Source organism: Homo sapiens, chromosome 2 (genome assembly GCF_000001405.40).
Source record: "Homo sapiens chromosome 2, GRCh38.p14 Primary Assembly".
Lineage (NCBI taxonomy): Eukaryota > Metazoa > Chordata > Mammalia > Primates > Hominidae > Homo > Homo sapiens.
This window is the reverse complement of record NC_000002.12, coordinates 11,482,482-11,494,826: the sequence shown is the minus strand read 5'-3', so window position 1 is coordinate 11,494,826 and position 12,345 is coordinate 11,482,482. Positions and strand designations below refer to the sequence as shown.

At 46.4% G+C, this 12,345-nt stretch overlaps 1 protein-coding gene across 8 annotated transcripts in view, besides 1 other annotated feature; it reads right to left on the bottom strand.

Moving 5' to 3' along the window:
• The window catches only part of GREB1 (growth regulating estrogen receptor binding 1), a 159,901-nt gene extending 147,962 nt beyond the window's left edge, over nt 1-11,939 (bottom strand). For 5 of the 8 annotated variants that reach the window (XM_047446466.1, XM_024453251.2, XM_047446468.1 and 2 more), the window contains exon 1: nt 11,864-11,939. The gene's annotated coding sequence lies outside the window, so the exon portion shown is untranslated. Of the gene's footprint in view, nt 1-11,432; nt 11,490-11,863 lie in introns of those variants that run through there. The other 3 variants (XM_047446460.1, XM_047446465.1, XM_047446475.1) reach the window with 1 other exon arrangement.
• Nucleotides 9,883-10,384: an enhancer, noted in NCBI's record as "H3K4me1 hESC enhancer chr2:11624569-11625070 (GRCh37/hg19 assembly coordinates)". NCBI's record gives its function as "activates a minimal SCP1, AML or CMV promoter by ChIP-STARR-seq in naive H9 embryonic stem cells {active_cell/tissue: H9 hESC(naive)}" and the evidence as "EXISTENCE:reporter gene assay evidence [ECO:0000049][PMID:30033119]".

Here is a 12,345-nt window from a genome sequence, read left to right as displayed (position 1 = left end):
AAACTCGCTGGATTTTGGCAGCCACCCCATGGGTGTTGATTATTACTGACCCCATCTTACAGATAAAGAAACAGATCTAGAGAACATTAAGTAGCCTGCCCAAGTGTCACTGAGCTTGGATTTGACCCTGAGTCTATAGGACTCCAGGTGACCAGCTCTTAACTACACACCCATTAGCTTAACCACTCAGATCACTCCCATTAAAAAAGGTGTAGGATTATCATCATTGAAAGACAGGGCCAAATAAGGAAACCAGAAGTCAGCAGCTGCATCAGGAATGGACTCCGGATTTCTAGACCAAAGTTCCCCTCCATCAGTCTCTTACGAGAACAACTCTAGAGCAGTGTCCACAGCAATGCTTCTCAACTGTCAGCATCCATAAGATGCACCTGGATGGCACTGGGCACCCCCATCAGGGAATCTCATTCAGAGGGTCTGGGGACCCAAGAATGAACATTTCTATTGATTTCCCAGGTGATGCTGCCACAGCCCATCTATAAACCACACTAGAGGATCCAGAGGGTGTCTGATAACTCCAAAATTTCATGAGTCTCTGTGGTGACAAGTCAGGGAAGACGGCTTCAGTGTTGGGGGCACCCCCGGATCAGACTGCCCCTGTAGCCCATCTTCTCACCCTGGCTCTGTCCAGCCTCTCTCCCACTTTGGAGTAAGACAAAAACGGGTTCCCTACCATCTGCTGGCCGCGCAACCCTGGGCAAGTCCTTAGGCTTTCCTGCACCTCCGTTTCCTCATCTTTACAATGGGTACCACACTCTGGCTTACCACATAAGGAGTGGTGAAGCAGCCTGTGTAAGGTACCTGGACTCGGGAAAAGGTCAGCAACTGTTCATTTCTTCTTTCATCTTTTCTCCATCAGATTCATTTCTCCTAAGCCCCCAAACACACCAGCTCAAATTCTACCCTCTCTAAACCTGTCTCATGTCTGTAGCCATTTGTAAGGATAACAGCAATACCTTACATCTCTGGAGTTTACAAATTGCCCCCAGAGGTCAGAGTTTGCAACTTATACCTCATGTGCCTCTTACCATGCCTGGCACAGAGCAAACATTCAATAAGGACTTACTGGTCAAAAGAACTGACTAAATCTGCTCTCTAAAATTTTGGGGAAAAAAATGCAACCTTCAAAAACATAAGGTTGCATTAATACTGGCTCAGTATAACATACTGTATAAGGAAACCAATTTTACATAGGCGAATTCAGGGGTCCCCAGTCCCCGGGCCACAGACTGGTACTGGTCCATGGCCTGTTAGGAAGCAGGCCACACAGCAGGAGGTGAGCGGTGGGCAAGAGAAGTTTCATCTGTATTTACAGTCGCTCCCCATTGCTGTCATTACCACCTGAGCTCCACCTCCTGTCAGATCAGTGGCAGCATCAGATTCTCATAGGAGCTCAAACCCTATTGTGAACTGCGCCTACAAGGGATCCAGGTTGCACGCTCCTTATGAGAATCTAATACCTGATGATCTGAGGTGGAATAGTTTCACCCTCCCCCACACCCTGTCTGTGGAAAAATTGTCTTCCATGAAACTGGACCCTGGTGCCAAAAAGGTTGGGGGCTGCTGGGCTAATTGATATAAACAAGGTTCAAGTCCTATGGCATACAGTACATACCTCATTTCCCTTCATGTCGCAGTTTCCACAAGCCTATGGACAACATGAAGTGGAGGCTTATTGTTTAACCAAGTTGAAAATCATATAGTTGGGATGCTACTCAAGGTGTCTTCATTGATAGGTTTGTACGATCAATCATCTTGGGACAATTGCTCAAGGCCAGCAGCTGCCATCAGCCCTTCCTGGGACTTGGGCTCTGCTTCCTGACAGGATATCTCCAGCTGCTGAGCCTCAGCTCCCATTGTTTAAGCCTAGTCTTGCTGGTTTGCATTACTCCTGTCTGGTCTCTGCTCCAGCTGTGACCAGCCCCCAGCAGATAAGGAGCCATTTTCCTAGGGCACACCCTCTGTGGGTACTGCCTGGCACAACTGCCTTGGAGACTCTTGCTGGCCCCACAGGCACTAGGGGTCACCTTCTCATTGCAGTTCCCTCCCCAGGAGGCCTTCAGTGTGAGTCTCAAGGGGGCTGCCCTAGGGCACAGTCCAGATGAAAGACTGTTTTCCTCAAAACAAACTTTTACCCTTTTCTCTTCCCTTACATTGATTCTGGCAAACTTGATTCCCACTGTCCCCACCCCCATTCATGCACTCACAGGCCCCAGTGAGTGGGAACTCAGCTCAGGGGGGACCCAGGTCAGGGTCTCACAGAAACCCACCCCTCATCCCAAACTTCTCACAGCAGAGAATGAGCCTCTGCCATGCAAAGCCGGCTCCAGATCACAGACTGTGATAACACAGCTGAGCTCCCAATTTATCGTCCTCCTTTTGCGGAAATTCTGTACACATGGCCAGGAGTACAGCTGACTCAGTCTTCAATGGCTGACCAAGAAACAAACCAACCAACAAGCATTTCTTGATAGAGCACACTGAGGGTTTGGAGAAGAAAGAATGAGGGATGTTTTTGTCCTAACTTCAGACTTAGCCAAATGTGGCATGGTTGCTTCTACCAAGTGGGGTGGGCATGAGGGAAGAGCCCACTCAGGCCTGGCGTGTCCATGACGATGCTCCAGTGCTAGGTGAACAATCCCAGAGTAAAGTGCCACGTTAAATGACCATGGAAACGATGCATGGTAGCCAGGCAGGGAGTCAACCAGACGGCTGGAAGAGCCATGGGGAATCCAGGGAAGAGGACCGTGAAATCAATAGCACCAAGGGCAGCTGTCCCAAGAAGTGGGAACTAGTCACCGAGTCAGGGTGCAGACACTAGAAGTCACTGAAAGAGGTTGGAACAGAGATGGCCAGGCCTCACATACATAGTGGATTAGAGCACTAAACTAATCGGTAGAAGGGTAATTCGCAGAACTGAGCACAGAGAACCAAGCATTAGAACAAGGCAGAAACCAGGCATCCAAATATGTCAATGAGCTCTTGGTGAAGAGGAGAAACTGAAGAAAACTGGCTGCTGGGCCTGGAACTAGAAGGTTAAGCCACTTATGGCCTCCAGCCTCACTCCTGGGAACCAGACAGGGAGGCTGCTAATGTTTACTTAAGACCTACTACATGCCAAGAACACTTTTCATGAACAAAATATTCAGTCTTACGAAAATTCTGGGAAATTATTATTGTCATTATCAGATGATTAAATGGAGGTATAAGAAGGTGGAATAGCTCTTCCAAGTCTCAGCTAGAGACAAAACATGCTTCTAATCCTCTCTGATTTCAGTCATATCATATTACATTCTGAGCCCAAAGGTAAGAATTAAGTCATTGGCCCTACTCTCAGACTTAATTCTAAAAACCTTTAGTAAGCTTTTTAGTGATTTAGCCCATTTCTTTAGCTTTAACTCAGCCTTCTAATAAGTCATTCTTCTGATAACATTGTCAGGATTTGGACATTTTACCAAAGAAGCTGTATTAAAAGAAATAAAACAAAACTTGAACACACTAATATGCAGATATCATTTTAAGATTTCTAAATCATGAAAACAGTAGATACAGAAATTTATACCATGCCAAGGAAATTATTAAGACAGTGCTGTACTGATCCATTTATTGGTAATGTTTAGAATATAATGTAAGTAGGAAAAATGCAAACCTATAAAAACAATGGATCTAAACCACAGAAAATCCACACCACAGCAAATCAGAGCCCCAGTGAGAGACCTCTCCACCCACTAGAATGGGTATCGCCAAAAGACCAACAGTAACAGCTGTGCACAAGGACGTGGAGAAACTGGAACCCCCATACAAGGAACCCCTATACAGTGCTGGTAGACACGTAAAATGGTGAAGCTAATTTGGAAATCAGCTTGGCAGTTCCTCCAAAAGTTAACTTAGAGTTCCCATAGGACCTAGCAATTCTACTCCTAAAGTACGTACCCAAGAGAATTAAAGACACATTTCCAAGGCCGGGTGTGGTGGCTCACCCCTGTAATCCCAACACTTTGGGAGGCCAAGGCGGGCAGATCACCTGAGGTCAGGAGTTCAAGACCAGCCTGGCCAACATGGCAAAACCCTGTCTGTACTAAAAATACAAAAATTAGCCGGGCGTGGTGCTGCACGCCTGTAATCCCAGCTACTCAGGAGGCTGAGAGAGGAGAATCACTTGAACCTTGGAGGCAGAGGTTGCAGTGAGCTGAGATGGCACCACTGCACTCCAGCCTGGGCAACAGAGTGAGACTCTGTCTCAAAAAAGAAAAAGACAAACACATTTCCATACCAAAAATTTGTTTATGAAGATTCCTACAAGCATCATTCATAATAGCCAAAAAGTGAAATAACCCAAACATCCATCAGTCTGATGAATGGATAATAAAATGTGGTATATCCATACAATGGAATATTATTCAGCCATATAAAGAAACGAAGTTCTGATACATGCTACAACACGGGTAAACCTTGAAAACACATGCCGAGTAAAAGAAGCTCGACACAAAAGTCCACATATTACATGGTTCCATTTATATGAAATATCCACAATAGGCAAATCTGCCATAGAGGCAAAAGGCAGAGTCGTGGTGGTCAGGGACTGGGAGAGGAGGATGTGGGCAGTGACTGTAATGGGTCTGGGGCTTCTTTCTGGGGTGACGAAAATGTTCTGGAATTAGATCATGGTGACAGTTGCACAACTCTGAATATATTTAAAAGCACTGAACTGTATTCTCTAAAAAGGTAACTTTTGTAGCACATAAACTGTAAAATTGTATTATAATTATATATATAACATATATAATTGTAATATAATAGAGTATATAATTGTAATACAATTACAATATTATTTGTTATATATCTAGTAATATAATACATAAATATATATGTTATTGTACTACAATTATAATATATAATAATACGGTTCTGACATTCAGATACTGCTCAGCCTTAACAAGCCACTTCTGAGCCTGTTCCTCACCTATAAAATGGGAACGATAATAACAACTTTGCTGAGTTGTAAAGAGAGTGGCAATTCACCTAAAATACTTTTACATGGTAGATTGTCAAGAAGTGGTGGCTATAATAGTAATAATTATTCAACTAACTCTTGAGTCTGCAAGGCCATGCAATGAAAGATATGTAAGTCAATGAACTACTCTTACACGCATGAGTCCCTTATTTTATTCTTCTCTTTTCTTGCCTCCATAGTTCTCTGCCGGAGTCTAAGACATTGCTAAGCACATAATACAATACTGTTATTTGAGAAATATGAAACTAAATGATCTTTTGTCTCAATGATCTTTTGTCTCCTACATTTGGGGGCAAGACTTCAAAGTAGCATTCTTTATTTATTTTTTTTTCCCCCAAGACGGAGTCTGGCTCTCTCGCCCAGGTCAGAGGGCAGTGGTGCGATCTTGGCTCACTGCAACCTCCATCCCCGGGGTTTAAGCAATTCTCCTGCCTCAGCCTCCCAAGTAGCTGGGATTACAGGCACGCGCCACCACGCCCGGCTAATTTTTGTGGCTAATTTTTGTATTTTCAGTAGAGACGGGGTTTCACCAGGTTGGCCAGGCTGGTCTGCGAACCCCTGACCTTGTGATCTGATCACCTCCTAAAGTGCTGGGATTACAGGTGTGAGCCACTGTGCCCGGCCGGCCCAAAGTAGAATTCTTAATTGTTCTCTAATTGTTCCTACCAGTATGAGGCTTGGCATTCTATCCAGAGTTTCATAAGTTCCCTAAAGAACAAAAGCTCATTTATTCATCAGGTATTTACTGAGTACCTCCTATGGGCCAGCCATTGTACTGAGTGCTGGGATACAAGGGTGACCAAAAGTGATCTAATCACCTATGTTGCATACTGGGAGGAGACAATATCAGACAAATAAATATGTCACTGCAAATGCGGTGTGTCATATAAAGGGCTTCTCAATCTTTTTTTTTTTTTTTTTAATGAAAACTGCCTACATATGCCCCAGTTCAGATAGATTTTATCTGGTAATTCCTTTCCCAAATCTTTTTTTTTTTTTTTTTGAGACGGAGTTTCACTCTTGTTGCCCAGGATGGAGTACAATGGCACAGGCTCGGCTCACTGCAACCTCCACGTCCCAAATTCAAGCCACTCTCCTGCCTCAGCCTCCCAAGGAGCTGGGATTACAGGCGCCCACCACTACACTCAGCTAATTTTTACATTTTTAATAGAGACAGAGTTTCACCATGTTGGCCAGGCTGGTCTCCAACTGCTGACCTCAGATGATCCACCCACATCGGCCTCCCAAAGTGCTGGGATTACAGGCATGAGCCACTGCACCCGGCCTCTTTCCCAAATCTTTATGAATCACTTTAACTTTCAGTCAGAGTTCCTGATCAACAAAAGATCTCACTGTCCTTCCACAGCCAGTATCATTCTGCACAGAGGGAAGAAGTCTAACGTTCGGTTGACTTACAGAGCTGCAAGCAAGTAAATGCGCACTTTCCAGGAGGTTTCGTCTCTGTTGTTTTTATTTTAAGAGCTTACAGACTCCTCGGCCACCTTCATGGATTCATGGTTCTCAAGGTTGACCACCCAACAGAGACCCCTGGAGAGGCTCGTTAAACCACAGACTGCTGGTCACCACCCCCCGAGTTTCCGAGTTGGTCTAAGGAGGGGCCAGAGAATCTGTATTTTGTACAAGTTCCCTGACAACACTGATGCTGGTCCAGGTACTAGAATTTGAGAACCACCACAGTAGACAGGCAGAGCATATGCTTCAGTAAAGTCAACGTCAAAGGAAGCTTTTAGGTTACCCAAGCCAACCTCCTCAAGGAGCAGATGAGAACCTGAGCCCCGAGAGGCGAACCACCTCTGTCGAGGTCAAAACTAAATAAGTATGGTAGGTCCCCAACTCCCAGGTCACCAGTTTTCCTGTGCCACAACCTCCCAGGCAGTCCACCGCCTTTTGTTGAGCCCCAGAAGACATTCCCTTCTCATTGGATTCTGATGTAAACTCGTGGTCAAAAACACCAGGGGCATGAAATGATATAATGTCTTGGATTTACTTTAAAGTGATCCAAAAGGGTTGTGGTGTGGGGAGGGAGGAAACACAAGAAACAAAATTGACAAAATCTTGACAACTGCTGAAGCTGAATGATGAACACAGAGGCTCACAATCGTTCTATTTTTGCACATGTTTTAGATATGTTTGAAATTTTCCATAATCAAAAAGAAGTTATCGGAATCAGTTGGATCAAGATTTGTCATTGCACATTTCTGAAGGGCTCAGTCTCTCACACTACCCCTAAAATATACCCTCTCCCTCAGGAAAACAGTGTGTTTTGAACATCTATGGCTTGCCAAGCCTTGGCTGGGGACTCAAGGGATGCAGACAAAATTAAGACATAAATATCTGTTCCTAAGAAGCCCATAATATGATGGCATAAATAAAAAGCAAGCGTTGTCCTACGGGGTTGAACAGTGGCATCAGAGACAGTTAAGAGTCAGCTAGATTATACCCACTGAGATCAAGAGGACTGAGGCAAGGCTTCATCTCTTTTCATTTCACGTCCCTGAAATTCAATATTTTTGTCACTTCCTAAGAGCAGTCAAGTTTGAGAAATGTGTACTACCATCAATCAATGACGTTTTACCAAATTAGAACATTAAAAGTACAAATGATAGGCAAAGCTCAAGCATCCACTAGCGAAATACTGAAATGACAATTTATCAACACAATAGACCATGAAATTGTTATTTAAAATAATAATGTCAAAGAAATATTGATATTGAAATAAGCAATGTCCATAATATATTACATTAAAATGAGATATAAAATTATATCATCTAATATAATTTTAACTAACTTTTAGAAGCATATAGAATTTCATTTTTATAACAGGAAAAAATAGACCAAAGTGTTCAGAGTAACTATATCTAAATCATAGATTTCTGTGGTTGTTTTTTTGTTTGTTTATTTTTCCGAGATGGAGTTTCGATCTCGTTGCCCAGGCTGGAGTACAATGGCGTGATCTCAGCTCACTGCAACCTCCACTTCCCGGGTTCAAGCAATTCTCCCGCCTCAGCCTCCCAAGTAGCTGGAATTACAGGCACACACCACCACGCCTGGCTAATTTTTGTATTTTCAGTAGAGACGGGGTTTCACCACATTAGCCAGGCTAGTCTCGAACTCCTGGCCTCAGGTGACCCACCCGCCTCAGCCTCCCAAAGTGCTGGGATTATAGGCGTTGGGACTATAGGCATCAGCTACCACACCTGGCTGTTTTTTGTTTTTTTTTAACTCTTCTGTATTTTCTTAAATTTTACGTCACAAATATATATTACTTCTATGAGAGCCTTCCCCTGCCTTTTTAGTGCAATTAGCTTTAAAGTACTACAATTAGGCTGGGCGAGGTTGCCTATAATCCCAGTGCTCTAGGAGAGTGAGACAGGAGGATTACTTGAGGTCAGGACTTTAAGACCAGCCTGGGCAACATAGTGAGACCTCATCTCTACAAAAATTACAATTAAAACTAAATTTTTTTTAAAAGTACTACAATATATGTGTATGTCCAGAAACTGAACCAATAGATTCCAAGACTCTCCATTAAGGCAGTGTAAGAGCTGGGAGGGTTAACTGCCTGGCGTCATTATGAAGGAACTACAGGTCACCCTGGACGCTCTGGAATAGCTAGCCCAGAGTTCTATGAACTGCCCAAAGTCAGCCCTAATGGTTAGTTGCCCCCTCGAAAGCCCTAACTGCTTCCTTTCCAAGTCTGGAACAGAGAATGCTAAAAGGAGAAAGGTGAGATTATTGAAAGCAAGTTCCTGTCACCAGCCCATCCCACAGCCTTTCCTTTAAATGTCCTGGTCACTCTCAATCCTGATTATGGTGCCTGGTCATGGGTAGCATGCAGGGGGCTTGACCTCTCTCTTTATGTTACACTTATCTTCTTCCCATCCTGATTTTCTAACCATTGATTAGCTCTACTTTGAAATAGCCTCAGAACACTCTGGAATCTCTAAATAATTCAAATTTTGAATCCCCAAAGTGAACACAGTTTTCTTTAAAAGGGGGTTTCTAATGTCAAGTAAAATGATAGTACTAGAATGAACATCTATAATGCCACAGGTATTCAATAAATTGCTTACTAAATGAAAGAAACAGTGATCAACTTCGTACCAAGCATAGAAACCTTTCAGAAAGGCTGTTTGAGATCAAAATCTCTCCTATTGAAAGTGACAAGTGAGAAACACAGATGTTTCAAATGTAGCTTCCCGACTAGTGCAGTGGCTCTCACCTGTAATCCCAGCACTTTGGGAGGCTGAGGTGGGTGGATCACTTGAGGCCAGGAGTACAAGACCAGCCTGGCCAAGATGGTGAAACCTTATCTCTACTAAAAATACAAAAATTAGCTGGGCATGGAGGTGCACACCTGGGATCCCAGCTACTCAGGAGGCTGAGGCACAAGAATCACTTGAACCCAGGAAACAGAGGTTGGCAGTGAGCTGAGATTGTGCCACTGTACTCCAACCTGGGTAAAAGAGCAAGACTCTGTCTCAAAAAAAAAAAAAAATACATATATATATATAAAATAAAATAAAATAAAATAAATGTTGCTTCTAATTACCTACCCAGCAAAAGATTTCAGATATTGGTCCAACTGGCTATCTTCATGAATCGGAATCATTTTAAACCACCAATAAACCATTTAAACCATCTGCAGGCCAGGCGCGGTGGCTCAAGCCTGTAATCCCAGCACTCTGGGAGGCCGAGGCGGGCAGATCACGAGGACAGGAGATGGAGACCACGGTGAAACCCCGTCTCTACTGAAAATACAAAAAAATAACCGGGCGCCGTGGCGGGCGCCTGTAGTCCCAGCTACTCAGGAAGCAGGAGAATGGCGTGAACCCGGGAGGCGGAGCTTGCAGTGAGCCGAGATTGCGCCACTGTACTCCAGCCTGGGCGAAAGAGCGAGACTCCGTCTCAAAACAAACAAACAAACAAAAAAAACTATTTAAACCATCTGCAATAACAAGAAAGGCCAAGACAGAATTTAGTTTCAGCCTCAGCTTTTTTCACCCCCTGCTACGTGCAGTGAAGTGCAGTGGCACGATCATAACTCACTGCAGCCTCGAACTCGTGGGCTCAAGAGACCCTCCCAGCTTAGGCTCCAAGTGCTAGGACTACAGGCATGTGCCACCACACCTCGCTAATTTTTTTTCTTTCTTTTTCTTTCTTTCTTTTTTTTTTTTTTTTGTTTTTTAAGAGATGAGAGTCTCGCTATGTTGCCCAGGCTGGTCTCGAACTCTTGGCCTCAAGCAGTCCTCTGGCCTTAGCCTCCCAAGTAGCTGGGATTACAGGTGTGAGCCGTGCCTGCCTCCTGAGTTAACTTCTTACTCAAGAAAGAATGCTTGTCCCTGCAAGAACAGCAGAACGCCTCATGAACTGCAGCTGGGAACTGGAAATGCCACAGATAACACTGCAAACTTTAAATGAACCAGATTTTGGCATGAAAAAAGACCTGTAGAAAGATCTCCTCACCTGTGTTCCGTTTAATTGTTTCAATTTTAAATTTGGTTTTTGTTTCCTAGAAACATACTTTTCTGAGAAAGCAGTCAGAAACAGTGGTCTGGAAACAATGGATTGCTTATGAACAATTCTGCAAATCTGCCCAGAGATTTAAGAAATCCTAAGAGGATCGAGAAGTGGAATTCTAATTGGCCTTTAAAACTCCCAATAACAAAGTGCTACAAACCAGGCGGCATGACCACAATATTTATAGAAGATGGAGCTCAGAATCCCCATGTCTAACTCCCAGGTTAAATGCAGAAATTAAAGTGCTTTCACTGGGAATAAAAGAGTGTTTATTCAAGCTAAATTTACACATTTATTGTTTTAAAGGGATAATAAAAAGTCTTTCAAGCCCTGAAGTAACACTTAACTCTCTAATAAAAGTTTATTAAAGAAAAGCTTCAGTATACAAAGTAAGTAGTTCTTTTTTGCAGGTCCTCAAGACCAGGCATCAAAGAGAGTTGACAGCAAAATGGCCCGGAGTCCCTCTGCATGAATGGCGGCTCTCCCAGTCTCCAGCTGCCGGCGCCCTGGTGGCCGGGCCACACACACACACACACACACACACACACACACACACACACACACACCCCTTCTTGTACTTCGGGGAAGCAGCCTTTGTTCCCAGGACCCAAACTGGGATCCAGTTAGGAAGTCCCCACCTCCCCTGAAGCATCCTCTTCAAGTGCAGGGGCCCCTAAACCACCGTCCCAGAGCCACTCAGGAAAGATACCCCAAAATTTTCTCCCGGGTCCCAAGTGCTGGGGACATGTGGCTGCCACTCTGGGCTCCAGACAGTCTCCCTAAACACAGAGGCAGATACACACACACACACACCCTTGCAATACGATTATCACCGTCACTGTTCACGGCTCCCACCTACCGAGGGCTCACCATGTGCCAAGCGCCAGGAGCCTCGGGTGCTCTCTCTCTCTCACACACACACACGCGCGCGCACACCGATACACGCGTACACATGCACGCACGCACACGCGCACTCACACACGCACACACGTGCACACACGCACACCCATACACGCACACGCACGCACACCCCACACACACGCGCGCCCACACCTATACCCGCGCGCACACGCACGCACAAGCGCACGGCAGCGGCAGCACCCAGGTCCCTACACGCTGCCAGGGCCGATCCCGGACACCTTCCACCTCCTTCCCGGGACCAGGGCCAGGAAGTGCCCGCGTCCGGCGGGGCGCACCTTCCCCGCCGGGCGCCGAGTGCCCGCCCCGAGCAGCCCCGCACAGCCCCGCGCCCCCGCTCCGCCCGCTGCCGCCCGGAGGGACCGCTCCTACCTCGGGCCCTTTGTCCTCCGGCCGCCGCGGCCCCGCTCCTGAGCGCCCGCCGCCGACGGAGGCTAGCCCAGCCTACAGGCTGAGCTCGCGGCCGCAGCGCCAGGCCCCGCACCCGGACCTGGCCCCGGCCCCGGCCACGGCGCGGGGCGCTCGGCAAAGCCCGGATCTCCGGAACCGCGGCCAGCGCGGAGGACTCGACCCCTGACACTGGCCGCCCCCTGTGGTCCACTTCTCCGGGTCTTCGGGACGGCCGCGGAGGAGGGCCGGGCGGTGGGCTTGGCTGCCCCAGGACCTCCGCCGGGGAAGGGTCGGGGGAGGGCGCGGGGCCGGAACCCCTAGCGGCGGCCGGCGATGGGTGGAGGTGACAGGGACAGAGGGGAGCCCCCTGCGCCCTCCCACCCGGGTTCGCGCCCCGGGCCTGGAACCCCAGTCTTACCCTGTCCCGCCCGCCCTCCTCCCCAACAAAGACGCGCTCCCCCACT